Genomic DNA, 16,660 nt, shown 5'->3' on the forward strand with positions numbered 1-16,660 from the left:
GAGTATGGACTATTTCATGGTTCCTGCATCTGTACACTGTTCTATTGCAAACTTTTGTTGCTGATTCTTACAGAGGTCATCATGCATCCTTTAGTGCATGGAGTCTCTCCAGTGAAGGTTAGCAATGAAACTCCTCTCCTGGGTTTTAGTGGAGAAGACACTCATTTCCTGTGCCTGTTACATCAATGCCACTTTCTAACTGAATGTCTTGCATGCACCCACCTTCTACCAAATTGAATCTGTTTTTTTCGATGAGCTGGTAAAGCTCTGATTTGCTGAAGCCCTCAGCCCAGTTTCTTATCCAGTCTACATGTATTTTAACTGTAGTGGCCTTTTTCTAGTTCTTACTTTTCTTCCAAGGAAGTCTTACCTCTGGCCACCAACACTTCTGGAAAAGTCTACCCAATTTGCAAGGTATGACTACTTATTGAACAAATTCATGGAAGGCCTACAAAATACTGGGCACTCTTCTAGAAGATGAGAGTAGAATGATGAACATAATAGACTGTGGCCATGAATCCTTTTTTGAAAGAAATGAAGAAAACAAGGGAGCAATTCAAAATGTGAGAATAAGACAAATCAGAATAAATGGGTAAATAAATGAATGGGAGGGGGCTGTGGGGCAGTGACTCCCACTAAAGAGAAAGAGCCCTAAGTACAGGGTTTCTGGACTGAATTTTCCCACAATTTATTTCCAGTGCTGACAACATAGTAGGGCACTGAATAGAGAGTTTAGGGAAAGCTTTTCTGAGAAGATCACATTTTAGCAGAGACCCCATGAAGAGAAGCAGGAGAAATGTGGAGACCTTGAGTGACTGTGTGCAGAGACAACAGCAGCAGGTCTATGAGCCCTGAATAGGAAAATGTTCAGCCCTGAATGGGAATAGGTTCAGCCCTGAATGGAAATAGATTGAGGCCTGAATGGGAATAGGCTCAGTCCTGAATGGAAATAGGTTGAGCCCTGAATGGGAATAGGCTCAGTCCTGAATGGAAATAGGTTGAGCCCTGAATGGGAATAGGTTGAGTCCTGAATGGAAATAGGTTGAGCCCTGAATGGGAATAGGTTCAGTCCTGAATGGAAATAGGTTGAGCCCTGAATGGGAATAGGTCAAGCCCTGAATGGGAATAGGTCAAGCCCTGAATAAGAATAGGTTCAGCCCTGAATGGGAACAAGTTGAGCTCTGAATGGGAATAGGTTCAGCCCTGATTAGGAATAGATTGAGCCCTGAATGTGAATAGGTTGAGCCCTGAATGGGAATAGATTGAGCCCTGTATGGGGATAGGTTCAGCCCTGAATGGGAGTAGGTTGAGCTCTCAATGGGAACAGATCGAGCCCTGAATGGGAATAGATTGAGCCCTGAATGGGAATAGGTTCAGCCCTGAAAGGGAATAGGTTCAGCCCTTTTAGAGACCAGTCATGGCAGCAAGAAGTTCAGGGAGGTGCGAGGGGCCAGGTCACAGTGGGGAACAGTGGAACAGTGGGGTCATGTGGGATTGTGGGGTCACCTGGGACCAAGGAGTCATGAAGCCTTCTGGATATTTTTCTAGGAGTAAAAGGGAGCCATCGGGTAGCTCTTAAGTAGAAGGCTTGCCTGTTCTGATATATTTTAAACAGAATCAAAAATTTTTCTCTGGAGAATGGCTTACTGGGAATTAGAGAAAAATAGATATAAGAACATGTTAAGCAAATAGTCACATTATTTATAAAATTAATTATCAAAAGTGAAAGTTCCAAGTAGAGAATGTGCAGGGTTCGATCATAACCAATGACAAGCTATGTCAGTGTAGGGCTTACCTGGGGGTCAAAAAACTTCTTTAAAGAAATCACTCATGGAAACCTTGTCATTGAAGATTATTTTTAACCTGTGAGTAATTGATTCAGAAAGAGACACTGGAAGGTCATTCTTGTCTGGGCGCATGAGATGAGGATCTCTTGAGCTGATTGGCACAGGGGCCAGATCACAGAGGCAGCAGGCTGAGACTGATGATGTAGGGTCTTGCAAACAATGTAGGGATTTGGGTCCAGGCCTCTAGAACAATGGGAAGCCATGGAGGGTGCCAGCCAGCGAATTCATGGCCCACCTGTTGAATTTAAAAGGCCCACAATGCTGGACTGAAGATAATGGATGGAGGGGAGCCACAGGGTTGGGAGGAGGCTGGTCTGCACCTTAGCAGTGGCCCCAGGAGGACACAGCAATGTGGGCAGCAGAGGTTGGCAAGTGAGACAGAGAAACAGTATTAGGAGGGAGAGTTCTTGGGACCCACTGACAGAAAGTTGGAGGTTGCAATGGGGTATGGAGTGTGGCCCCAAAGGTCCTGGCATACACAATGAATGGGTGGCTCTGCCCTTCGCTGATGAGAGAGAGGAGGTGCTGAGGTCAGTGATTTATAGTCCAGAGACTGTAGCCTTCTCCTTTTCCAAGTCACCACCTAATGGGCCTTAGATGCCACGTTAAGTTACAAGGAAGCTTTTAAAATGTGTTCTTCAGGACATTGGTTTGAGCAAAGCCTTTTTGGATGAGACCTCAAAGCACAGGCAACAAAAGCAAAAATAAAAAACAGGATTACATTAAGCTAAAAAGCTTCTGCAAAGCAAAGGAAACAATCAGCAGAGTGAAGATACAATCCACAGAATAGGAGAAAATATTTGCAAACTATCAATTTCATGAGCGATTAGTAACGAGAATATGTAAGAAACTCAAACAACTCAGATGCAAAAAACACATAATTTGGTTTAAAAATGGGTAAAAGATCTGAATAAACATTTCTCAAAAGAAAACAGACAAATGGCCAACAGTTGTATGAAAAAGTTCTCAACATCACTAGTCATCGGGGAAATGCAAATCCAAACCGCAATGAGATATCATCTTACTCCAGTTAGAATGGCTTTTATCAAAACCACAGGGACTAACGGATGCTGGCAAGGATGCAGACAGGGGAGTGCTCACACATTGCTGGTGAGAATGTAAATTAGCACAGTTACTACAGAGAACAGTATGGATGGTCCTCAAAAAATTAAAAATAGAGTGACCATATGATCCAGCAATCCCACTACTAGGTGTGTGAAGGAAATCAAAATATTGAAGAAATACCTGCTCTTCCGTGTTTATTGCAGCACTATTCACAACAGCCAAGATATGGAATCAACCTACGTGCTTATCAATGGATAAATGGATAAAAATATAAATATTATATATATAATTTAATATTACTCAGCCATAAAAAATGCCATCCTGTCATTTGCAACAACATGGATGGAGCTGGAGGTCATCGTGTTAACTGCCATAATCCAGGCACAGACAGACAAATATTACATGTTCTCACTCATACGTGGGAGCTCAGTATGTGGAATTAATGAAGACAGAGAGATGATCGTTGGTTCTCAAAGGCTGGGAAGTGGAGAGAAGAAGGGCGATGAAGAGAATTGGTTATTGGGAATAAAAATACAGTTAGATAGAAGGAGTAAGATCCAGTGTTCAAAAACACAGTAGGATGAGTATAATAACAACATCGTACTGCGTAGATCAAAAAAGCTACAAGAGAAGAACTAGAATAACCCCAATACAAAGAAAAGCTAAACATTGGAGGTGATAGATATACGAATTTCCCTCATTTGATCAATACATATTGTAGTGAATGCATGCAATATCAAAATATTGCATATTTCCACCAAAGAATGTACAATTCTTATGAATAAAATCAGAAAAAATATTTTCTGCAGAAGATAAATAGACTCTGGTTTTAATTCAAGAGCCTACACTTTTATAGTCATGTACCACACAATGATGTTTCAGTCAATGACAAACCACATATGTGAAGGGGGTCCCATATATTTATAGTACTATATATGTTTTTTGAGACAGACTCTGGCTCTGTCACCCAGGCTGGAGTTCAGTGGTGTGATCTCGGCTCACTGCAACCTCTGTCTCCCAGGTTCAAGCAATTATCCTGCCTCAGCCTCCCAAGTAGCTAGGATTACAGGCATGTGCCACTACACTCAGCTAATTTTTTCATATTTTTAGTAGAGACAAGGTTTCACCATGTTGGCCAGTCTGTGTCTCGAACTCCTGGCCTCTGGTGATCTGCCAAAGTGCTGGGATTACAGATGTAAACCACCATGCCCAGCCTATAATACTATTTTTTAACTATACCTTTTGTATGTTTAAACATATTTAGATACATAGATTCATAGCATTGGGTTATGTTTGCCTACAGTACGGTAACATGCTGCACATGTTTGTAGCCCAGGAGAAACAGGCTGCACCATGTAGCCTAGATGTGCAGTAGGCTACGACATCAAGTTTGTGTAAGGACACTCTAGAATGTTTGCACAGAGACGAAAATGACTCAGGACACATTTCTCAGAACATGTCCTGGTTAAGCAAGGTATGATTGCTTTTCATTCTTGTGAGTATCATCCAGACACATATATTGATATATAGTTTTGACATTTAATAATAGTTGAGAGGCTACAGTCTTCACAGCACCCTCTACTTTTCAGCATCCAGAATTTACCCTTTTTTTGTACACTCAGTTCCTCCTATGTTGATAGCCCAGCCAACATATATCAGCTCTTGCATATGGGTGGCATGGACTCAAGAGACGATCTGAGAGGAGAGAATCAAAGAGGTAGAGGGAAGGAAAGAAAGCCTACTTTGGTCTATGTAGTAAAGGCAGTTGGTCAAAGAGAGGAGAAAAAAATGCCTAGACAGCAGCTGGTGAGAGAGTTAAATTTTGAGTTGCTTGGCAGAAAATTGGGGGCTGTATCAGTCAGGACAGGCAGCATCATGCTGCAGTAATGACAAACCCAACAATAACATCTCAGTGGCAAGTACCATGAGAGGCTGCTTTTTCACTTGTTGTTACATACACATGATGGTGTTCTTTCCAGAGATGGCTGGTCTTCTGAGTCATTTGTCATTCTCCTTCTAGGATGCAGGCTGAGGAGCAGCCACAAGTGAAGTGTTGCCTGTCACCTCAGCAGTGGAAAAAAGAGGGCACTTCCTCTTTTTTCAGGGACTACTCTCATTTCTCCTGCTGGATGTGACCATGTTACCCTGTGGGTGACTCAGACCACCTTTGCTCCCTTCTCAGTGGCCAAACCCCATTATATGACCACCAATGAGTTGGATAGGGCAGGGCTGTAATGCTCCCATAGGTAACAGGGCTTTCAATCAAGGAAGAATCATGCCTTCTGCTTTAGGGTGGAAGGGAATGTGATCTCCTAACACTCATAGTAGATTATGAGCACACATCCTCATGTGAAAATACTGTGGGCACTGTGCATAAAATAAGATTTGTTTAATTATCTCTGGTGGTGGCAGTTCCTTCCTCAAAGTCATATTTGTCCTCACATCAACTGGGCTTCACACCTCCCAGAGTCACAGGGCTGGACAGGGTCTTCCTCACCTGAAGCAATTCATTTTGAGATGTATTTTCTCCCATTCTGTAGGTTCCCTGTTCAGTCTGATGCTAGTTTCTTTCGCTGTGCAGAAGTCTTTTAGTTCAATTAGATCCCATTTGTCAATTTTGGCTTCTGTTGCCATTGTTTTTGGTGTTTTAGTCATGAGGTCTTTGCCCATGCCTATGATGTCCTAAATGGTATTGCCTAGGTTTTCTTCCAGGGTTTTTACAGTTTTAGGTCTTCCGTTTAAGTCTTTAATCCATCTTGAGTTAATTTTTGTATAAGGTATACAAATTTTTGTATAAGGTATAATTTTGTATAAGGAAGGGATCCAGTTTCAGTTTTCTGCATATGGCACACCGCCACCAGCCCTCCCAACAGACGGGGCCTGGTCAAGACGACAGCCACTGAAAGCCACTCTCAGCATGGAGCAGGGAGGCCTTGGGGTCGAATTACCCTGGGATTGAATTACTAGAAGCACACTCAAAATGAAGAAAGTTGCTTCTAAAAATAGGAAAAAGAAACCCACACGGATGAAAGTCAAAGAGGAGAAAAAGCAGAACAAAAACCATTTGGCTTTACAAACATCCACACAATTTTAAAGTAGGGTTCCATCCTGTCCCTCTGGAACAACAACGGCTATGACGAAAAAGCAGCCAGGTTCTCTTTTCCTACAAGACCTGCTTTTTCAACTTCTTGGTGAAATGTGATGTAGCAGCAGAGAGGCCCAGCTTGCACCCTGAGATCACAGGAGCGCTTGCGGGTGGCTTCATCTTTAACCCCTTGAGGCCACCAAACATCCATTACCTGGCCAGGCAGAGCTGAAGACGACCCTCACGGGGCTCTAACCTGAGCCCATAGCAAACTGTTTTCCCTGGATCTGGGACAGAATCCCTTCAGAAGCCCACTCATGGGCAAGGCAGCTTCGAGTGGACTTGCAGCTGTTGAGAACTGACCTCCCAGTGGGAGCTCGGGCCTTGATTCCCCACTGACTCCTCAAAGTGTCTCCCAGAGCCTAAACTGTCTCCCAGAGCCTGTCTCCCAGAGCCTAAACTGTCTCTCAGAGCCTAAACTGTCTTTCAGAGCCTGTCTCCCAGAGCCTGTCTCCCAGAGCCTAAACTGTCTCCCAGAGCCTAAACTGTCTCCCAGAGCCTGTCTCCCAGAGCCTAAACTGTCTCCCAGAGCCTGTTTCCCAGAGCCTAAACTGTCTCCCAGAGCCTGTCTCCCAGAGCCTAAACTGTCTCTCAGAGCCTAAACTGTCTTTCAGAGCCTGTCTCCCAGAGCCTAAACTGTCTTTCAAAGCCTAAACTGTCTTTCAGAGCCTGTCTCCCAAAGTCTGTCTCCCAGAGCCTGTCTCCCAGAGCCTGTCTCCCAGAGCCTAAACTGTCTTTCAAAGCCTAAACTGTCTTTCAGAGCCTGTCTCCCAAAGTCTGTCTCCCAGAGCCTGTCTCCCAGAGCCTAACTGTCTCCCAGAGCCTGTCTCCCAGAGCCTAAACTGTCTCCCAGAGCCTAACTGCCTCCCAGAGCCTAAACTGTCAGCTCTGCAGGGTCCTATTCCCTGCCACCTTCGAAGCCATCTCAGCACGACTCACCTGCTGAGTGGCAGGCAGGGCGAATGGTCCCCTACTCACCTTTGCTGGCTTTTCATTGACAAATTGCCTTTGTCCATACAAGAAATGAATTCTCAAGATATATCTTAAATGCCCCCTGGTTGTGAACATGGCTGAGGGTGCTATGTAATAATAAGTAGTTTTTGTCTTCAAATAATAATTCTAGCATATGATCAAAAGCAAATGCATCAAGCTTTGTAACAGGCAACAGCCCCAGCTCGGGGGTTTGGGATGCCTTGACCAGCAGCCTGCAAACCTGGCTTCATGGTGAGGAAAGGCGTTGCGATCCTTTTCTAGGGCTGGGGAATCTTAGCAGATCCTGAGAGCTTCATTTCATCTGCGGACTCCAACAGAAGCATTTTGCTTATTTTGATTTGGGGAATACAAAGGGTTTTAAAAATCATTTTAATTTTGACACTTAACTGGGATAAGAACAAAGAAACCCTCTTAGAAAAAGAAAGGAGATTTTTCACTTGAAATAAACCACCCTAACTGTCTGATGCTCTCATCAGCTCCTGCCAGGACTCTAGTGGGTGACTGAGGCCGCCTTTCACCCTAATGAGTCCATCCATCCTGATGACGTCACCACGAGAAGACACCTCACATCCACCTGCATCAACACCCATCAAGGGCGGGTGGAAACTCAGTGAACATCTTCTCTCCCACAGGGCTCCCCGAGTGTCACAGCCGCTGACAGCCTGCTCTGTGTGGCCCCAAGGACCTCACCCAGCCGGCCACGCTCCCCGTGGCACAGTGGCCCTCCTCCGCTTCTCTCCGAATGATGTGAAGCAAATGTTACTGGAGAGCCTTCTTTCTGCCCTCTGGAGCGATTCTTCTTAAAGTGAGCTCCCTAGAGCACTGCCCTGTCCCCCAGATGTGCCCTGGAGCTCTGATGCCCAAATCCAATGCTGGAGCCCACATGCCAGGCGTGGGAATGCCAAAGGACACGAAGCCAGGGGAAGTATGCTCAGAAAATGTTCATAATGTAAAAAGTCTTCATTTCATGCCTAAATTGTCTGTTAGAATTAAATGTAAGCTCATATCAAATTTAGCACAAATGTATAGGCCTAATTATTTTTAGTTTAATGTAGAGATTATGTAGAATTTTGTAACTCAACTAGTTTGGGAACCACTTGAAAGGATACAGCAACAACAGGCCAATTAAACAGGAAATTCTTGTCCTCTTCAAAGAGGAGAAGATGAGAACAGAGACTAAGAAGGATAAAGGAGAGAATAAGACCAGGAAATACTTCCCAGAAAGAGGAGGCAGGATTTCGCGTTCAACAGATGAGAAAGAGGACAGAGAAGAGCAGAAAACTATTAAAAGGTAGGATTCTGATTCGATGGGCAGAAATGATTTTTACAATGAGAAAAGTTGCCCATAATTCTTGACTGGCAATGTATTTTACAATGCTGTAAGCATTTATTTCAATTTCTTCTGACTGTACAAATTCCTTTTCTGTGCTTTAATTTCATGGCACCTTTAATCCATAATGATAATGAAAATAACACCTAACACTTACATAACATGCTACAATTTTAATTTATAAGATTTTATATAATTTAATCCTTCAAATAATGCCTTATGTAAACACGGCTTTTACTTAATTTTTATGAGTGGGGAAACAGAGGAGTAAGAAAGAAAATTATATGCCTTTGATCGTGCAGGAAATATGCACTAACACTGGACTTAGAATGGAAGTCCCTAACTCCCAAACAAACACATGCACTGTTCATCACAGGCATATGAATTCTGGGTAATGGATTGGCTGAAAGCAACAGCCTTGCCAGAGAAGTCTATCATTAGCAGTGTATCACCGATTAAATGGATAAAGTTATTCTAAAGAGGCTTCAACAATGGAGATCTTGAGTTTGTTCTTTTAGACATTCTCTCCGCATTTTTCCCTCACTTCTTCTACAGTTGACCCACTTCTGTCTTAACACATTTTTAAAATTATGGTTATGTAATTAAGTGGCTCCTTGGTGACGTTTTTGAGGAAATTTTGAAGTACTGTATTAATTCCTGAAAAGAGACATGCAAGATCTATCTCCAAACCCTCAGAACTTGGGCACCACCCCAATCAAACTGTTTCTTAGAATGTGGATGTAAATACACCAATTAGCAGTTCACTGAATGAAGGGGGCTATTGAAACTTACAAAACACATGCGTGATTGTTGAAAAGCTTGTCGAATGTCTTCCCTCCCACAATTCAAATATTATTCAAACCAGTGATTAAAGTTAAGAGCTGTTTCCAATAAATGACTCACATCATATATTGCCTTTCAATTACCAAATTATCCATGCTATTGGCCATTAACAGGCCACTCGATTAAAAGGACAATGGAAAAAGTAATTCAGATTCCAGCTTAAAGATCTCCTCCTCTCACTTCCCAATTAACACTTACAACATGCTGGCCACAGGCAATTCTCAGAGTGCTTTGCCTGACTTAATTTTGCTTTTAGCACTCAGTGCCAGGAATACCTAGAAAATTATCTACTAATTATCTGGCATTATCTATGTTGGTTCATGTCTAAAGAACAGCTCATCTAATTACAAGGCCCTTTGCTATTTGACTCTAAAGAGTGGGTTTAACTGAGAATTTCTCCAAAAGGGCTTGCACTAAGGGCTGGTAATTATGTGCTTTGCGTTCTTTGGAGGGAGTTCTCTCAGGTATCAACAACAAACAGTTACTGAAAGGATGCTTGCACAGCAGGTGCGCTGTAAGTAATAATTACATCGTGACATTTCCAGTGTTTTCTTCTACTGGACAATTAGCAAACAGTATGCTAACTTATCCCTAACATTCTCAAGAGAACTCTGAACTCTCACACCCCTTCTAAAAAGTCCATGGAATCTTCTACAGAGCAGACCTGCTATAATAGTAAAAAGTGAGTGCCCTCTGAGCAGGTGTTTTTTGAACAAGTTTAGGATCGAAGAAATAAAATTTGATTTTATAGTAGGCTGGCATCTAGTCTTAGTCAGTATGCTACTGAGAACATGGGAGTTATAAAATTGTCAGGGCTGAAGAGGTATATTAATGACTGAATTTATGTGGCTGCTTTATCCATTTAATATGAGCAAGAACATACCCCTAACAGGCTAGAAAATTCTGAAATGGTAGCTAAAACAAAGAAGCATCTTTAATTCCTAGGGTAATATGGCACGGTTATTATTGTTTTCCTTTAAAATTTAAAGCAATTACAAACCTCAAGAGAAGTTAGAAGTATGGTTTAAATAATTTTTTTTCATGAATTGGGGAGGAATTGACTGGCCTGATGCCCCATCACACTTAAATACTCTGTTAAGCATTTTCTACCAAAAAGGACACTCTCCTACAGAATTCTACTAGAAAGTTCTGAGAGAATTTTGACTTTGCTGATGCAAGATTTACAGCACCCTCATTGCCCTTTCTTCCTTTTTTTCTGTCTGGGATACAATTTTGATTAGTATTAAGACTAATATCACTTTTTTCATTTAAACTTCTGTGTTCTTTTCTCTCTTAAAATTGGTTATAGTTCTGAAATTTATTATGCTTTCTTTGTTTACTCATAAGTTTTTCCCTAGGTTTTCAGATGGATGATTAGTTTTTTTTATTAGGTTTCCGTAAAATCTAGTGGCTGACACTTTTGAGCCTTTAAATTAACACCAGAAACTATCTACCTCCACTTCAGACTTCCGATTACCTGGTAAAACTAATCCATATGTATTGAACTCATCATAATAAAGACTGTATTACTTGCCCATAGGTGCAATTGATACATGGCCCTGTGAGGACCTGCATCTGCTGGGATCCATCTAGTTCTTGGACTTGCATTTCTTCCATTCTCTGGTTATTTACTTCACTATTTTTCAGTCTCATCTCAAGACCTCCCCTAAATTAATACCCACACCTATACACACATCCATCCCTCCCCCAAACCCTTCTTCTATTTTGTCCATAGCACTACTCACTTGAAATGTTTTGTTCATCTTTTTATTACCTGACTCTAATGCTGGAATGTACATTTTATATGGATAGGACCCTCATCTGAGCTTCTTTCACTGAACAGGTGGTACTTAAAACAATAGTGGTGGACACTTAGTAAATATTCGCTAAATAAATAGAATGAACAGCTCTAACTCTAAGACGCAATTTATTTATCAAATTTCTGAACATGATATAAAAGTATAAGGTGTTCTTTTGGAATTTTACAATGAAAAAGACAATATATATATGGAAATTTAATACTTGAATTGTCATGGCTGGTGTGTTTTTGCTCTGTGGTCCCATCTACAAGGAAAGAAAAATTATAGACATGAGATTACTGGGAGATGATGAAATGAACAGGCTTAGTTTGTTGGGCTTGACTGTTTTTTTGTTTGTTCTTATTGGTTACTTTCTATCGCTGATCATTTGGGGAGATTTGTAAAAGGAGAAGGAATAAGCCATTATTTTTTTCTGCTATTTTTGGAGCAAACTATCTATGTTACCTCTCTGGTCATTTCCTTTTAAAAATTCTGTTTATTTGCATTCATTATCTTCTTAATTAGTATTGCTAATAATATCACTTTTTCATTTTAATCTTTTTTTGTTCTGTTCTCTCTTAAAATTGATTATAGTACTTAAATTTATTATCCTTTTATTTTAGTGTATGTTTTTCCTAGGTGTTTAGAGGGATGATTAGTTTTTTAAAATTAGATTTCCATTTTATTCTCAAAAATTTATTTAAACTTAAAAAAAAGCTCCAATTTTTATTTTAAATGTATGCTCATAACCTTACATGCCTAAAGTTGTTTATCATTATGCTATACTGTTTTCAGAATTCAGGTATTATTTTCTCTGTAGTCTCAGGGTTACTTAATAATGGGCTTAGTGATTTCCAAATGTGTGAAAACGTGTTATTGTTGTTGGCTGTGAGGTTGGGGAACACTCTAGGACCCTGATTATTTAGAATGCATTGAGTCTTCTTTTGTTGTCCAATTCATGGTCTATTTTTGAAAACATAACAAAATGTGTAGTCTTTACTTATTGAATATAAGTTTTTAAACTTTTATCTAAAAGTGTTGATTGACCATGTTATTTATACTTTTTATATCTTTCTTACTTTTGTTCTTTCAATATTACTATACCAGTTCATCAAAGGACTAGTTGAAATTTATTTCCCACCTATCCCCCCTTATCCTGTTTGTTCAATTCTAATTTCAAAATTGTACTTTTAAGCACATTTATATTAAAGACTTTCATATATTTGGATCAATTGTTCTTACCAGTATAAAAAATCACTTTTGGTATCCTGTGATTTGGCCCTTAAGTGTGATGAAGAGTAATAATGAAGCAAGTGAAGCAAGGTAATACGAAGAACCAGGAAAAGACAGACACAAGTCAACATGTCCATTTATTTTAAAATGTAGCTACATCACAGCAAGATAAAAAAAAAAAGTGATCCAGATCAACAATAACAACAGTAAAAAAAAAAAAAAATGAAAAAAGAAAAAGTGAGGCTCAAAAATTTTTGGAATCTGAGATTACACACACACATGCATACCCACAAACACACACACAATCAAAACAGCTGTAAAGCAGAGGAAACAATAATAAAACAACTAAATTTTAAAATTCAGTGATTGTTCATGTAAAGGCAAATATTAAAAATATCTTGAAGAATAAATTTAAAAACTCATGATAGTTCTAGACTAAAGAAAAGGAAAATGCAAAGTGGAAGCTCATCAGTATCAGAAAGAAGTTGGAAAAAGGAAAAATGTGTATCTAAAATCAAGATTGGCTGGTTGTAGTAGCTCACGCCGATACCGCCAGCACTTTGGGAGGCTGAGACAGCTGGATTGCTTGAGCTCAGGAGTTCAAGACTAGCCTGGGCAACATGAAAAAACCTCATCTTCAAAAAAAAAAAAAAAAAAATTAGCCAGGTTGGTGGCATGTATCTGTAGCCCCAGCTACTCTGGAGACTTAGGTGAGAGGTTCACCTAAGCTTGGGGATGTCAAGGCTGCAGTGAGCTGTGATCACACCACTGCACTCCACTCCAGCATGAGTGGCAGAGTGAGACCTTATCTCAAAAGAAAAATCAAACAAACAAAAAAATCAACCTTAAGATTAAATTACAATTGTTGAGAAGGACATGTATAACTGGAAATGTAGTATTAAAAATATCGAATATGAGTAAAAAAGCTGAGGAAATAAGAAAGAATTAAGTATGTTATCAAAAGAATCTGAAAAGAATAGGTGTGGAAAATACGTAAAGAGGCTCCAATAGAGGTATAATTGGAGCAATTAGCTCCCCCAGTATTAAACCTTTGCTTTTGAGGAAAAACGAAACAGTGAAGCAAAATTAATTTTAAAACAGTAACAGTTACACATATACACACACACACTCTTTCTTGAAATAAAACTTAAATTTACACGTTGAGAGAGGCTCATAATACACCTGAAAATTTTGACCCAGAAACATTAATTGTAAAACATATTGCAATAGAAACTTAAACCTTAACCTGCAATTATAAAGACCAAGTTACTAGCAAATAAAAAAATCAAGTTGCTCTCAGATTCTTGACAGAATACATACAAACAGAAATGAATGAAAAATAAATAAAAGACTATTTCTAAAAAAATTCACCCAATGTAATATTATGCTAGTGTAAAAACTGAGATATAATTTTTAAATGATATTCAGAATACATATGTAGTTTAAAAATAAAGTTACAGAGTGGCATGGTTATTATGTTGCATTTTATACAACAAAAGAGGTTAAAATAAACATACTTTAGCCTATCTTTGCCAAAAACAAAAAACAAAACAAAAAAAAACAGCTAATCAAACAAAAAACTGTGGAAATAAAAACCCAATACAAATAGAAATAGTCACCTCTAGCTGGAGTTGGGTAGGTAGGGATAATATAAAATATCTGTAAGTATACCTTTGAATGCATTGTTTTGTTTTTGAGACAAGGTTTTGCTCTATTACCCAGGCTGGAGCATAGTGGCACCATCACAGCTCACTGCTGGCTTGACCTCCTGGGCTCAAGTAATCTTCCCACCTCAATCTCCCAAGTAGTTGGGACTATAGGCACACACTACCACACCTGACTAAATTTTTTTTTGTTTTTAGAAATGGGGTTTTGCCATGTTGCCCAGGCTGGTCTCAAACCCCTGAGCTCAAATGATCCACCCATCTTGGCCTCCCAAAGTGCTGGGATTACAGACGTGAGCCAATACTCCAAGCCTCAATATATTTTTGACCTTTGTCAATGTTTTACATATTAACAGTTAAAATATATTTCAAGAAGAAACATTAATCATTAAATGTAATGAAAGCAAATTACCCTAATTTCATATTAGATGGCTAACATAACCACACAGATAAGAAATATCTCAAGTTATTTTTAACACATAATTCTGGTAATATATCTTCAATGAGATATATTTCAAGACTCAAAGGAACTGCAAATGAATCTTAAACTTCACTCAGTAGACTATTTTTCAGTGATGATAATGGTATTATAATTTTGGCACTATTCTCTGAAGACTGTGAGAGAGACAAATAAGCAAATACATTAATAATATTATGAACCAAGATTTGCAATACAAGAGAAAATAGATAAAAGTAAAAAATAAAAAGGCTCACAGCAATACCCTCTAATGCTACATTTTGTTTGGAAATATAATTTTATAATTTATTATAAAAATATATCTTCCCAAGCACATTTGACTAAAGCAGACTAGGCGTTATGACTCCTGTAGCAATAAGCACATCTAGTGCTGACTGTAATACTGTTCAGCCAATATTCCTTTGACGAAGGCTAATTTTAACCACAACAGGGAAAGTTAAATATGTTCAAAGACAAATGAGAACCATGTCAAAGAGATACAAGACAGGAAGCAGAGAAACAAGGACAAAGAGAACCTTCCAGCAATCGTCCACCAAATAGAAACAAAAAAGCACCTTCATAAGAACAACAACAACAAAAAATCAGATGAGCTATCACAGTATCTGATTTTAACATGATAACAAGGAAAGACACATTGAAGACTGTAGGAAGAACAATCTTGTATTACCTACTTCACCCCTACCCCAACTGCAGGCAGCCCAATGTACTGACTCTTTCTGCTTTGGGGAAAACGAGGGAAGAGAGCAAAGGACTTGATCTGTGGACCCAGGGAATTATCCTTTATCTTAACCCAGATCCACCAAGGATGTGCAGCTAGGCATCTGCAAGGATCTTAGCATACTTGAGCTTAGTGCACCGCCTAGTGCTGAAACAGCTGCAGTGACCGCAAGCTTAGGTACCAATATTTAAGCCCATTTGAATTCTCAGAAAGTCCTCTCAAGAAGTATGAGTACAAACAAGGCCAGACAGTGAAAACTGAATTAAATACCTAACTCTTCAATGCCCAGGCATAGATACACATCCACAAGTATCAAGAACATCCAGAAAAACAGAATCCACCAAGCCGACTAAATAAGGCACCAGTGCCCAATGCTGGAGTGATGGAGATGTGTGACATCTCAGACAGGGAATTCAAAATGGCAGTTTTGAGAAAGCACAACAAACCGCAAGATAGTACAGAGAAGAAATTCAGAATTTTATCAGTGTAATTTAACACAGAGATTAAAATAATAATAATAATAATAGTTATAAACAGAAATGCTGGAGCTAAAAAATTCAATTGACAAACTGAAAAAAAATTATCAGGGTGTCTCAATAGCAAGATTCCTATCACAAAAGAAAGAATTAGTAAGTTCAAAGACAGGTTATTTGAAAAGACACAGCCAGAGGGAGAAAAGGAAATAGTATAAAAAAGAAAGTAGTATGCCTATAAGAGCTAGAAAACAACATTAAAAAAGTAAAACTAATAGTTACTGGCCTTAAAGCAGACATAGAAAAAGAGATTGAGGTTAAAAGTTTATTCAAATAAATAGTAACATAGAACTTTCTAAACCTAGAAAAAGATATGAATATTTAGGTACAAGAAGGTCAAAGAACGTCAAGTAGATTCAACCAAAATAAGACTATTTCAAGTCATATAATAATAAAACTTTCAAAAATCAAGGACAAAGAAAGGATGCTAAAAGCAGCAGGAGAAAGAAAGCAAATAAAAGATAAAGGAACTTTGATATGGCTGGCATCAGACTTCTCAGGGGAAACCGTACAAGCCAGGAGTGAGCAGAAGGACATAGTCAATGTGCGGGGAAAAGAAAAGAAAAAAAAAACTTTCTGCCTAGAACACTGCATCCAGCAGTGTTATACTTCAAACAAGAAGAAAAAAACAAAAACTTTCTCAGACAAACAAAAACTATTCATTAATACCCAGATCTGTCTCATAAGAAATGCTAAAGGAAGTTCTTCAATCTGAAGGATAAAGGCACTAATGTGCAACAAGAAATCATCTGAATCAATGGAATACTCCAATACTATAATGGTGGTGTGTAGATCACTCATATTTTTAGCCTGAACACTAAAAGATAAGCCTGTCAAAAAAGCATAACTACAACAGTTTGTTAAGAGAAAGGCAATACAAAATTATAAATAGGGACAACAAAAAATCAAAATATAAGGAACTGGAGTTAAAGTGCAGAGTATTTTTTTTAACATCTCTTCACTTGTTTGGCTTTTTTTTATAATCAGAGTTAAGCGGTCATCAGTTAAAATA

The 16,660-nt window shown here is 39.1% G+C and overlaps 1 annotated feature.

The window, feature by feature from the left end:
• Window positions 809-1,491: an enhancer, noted in NCBI's record as "OCT4-NANOG hESC enhancer chr5:4549258-4549940 (GRCh37/hg19 assembly coordinates)". NCBI's record gives its function as "activates a minimal SCP1, AML or CMV promoter by ChIP-STARR-seq in primed H9 embryonic stem cells {active_cell/tissue: H9 hESC(primed)}" and the evidence as "EXISTENCE:reporter gene assay evidence [ECO:0000049][PMID:30033119]".

The sequence above is a fragment of the Homo sapiens genome, chromosome 5 (genome assembly GCF_000001405.40).
Source record: "Homo sapiens chromosome 5, GRCh38.p14 Primary Assembly".
Lineage (NCBI taxonomy): Eukaryota > Metazoa > Chordata > Mammalia > Primates > Hominidae > Homo > Homo sapiens.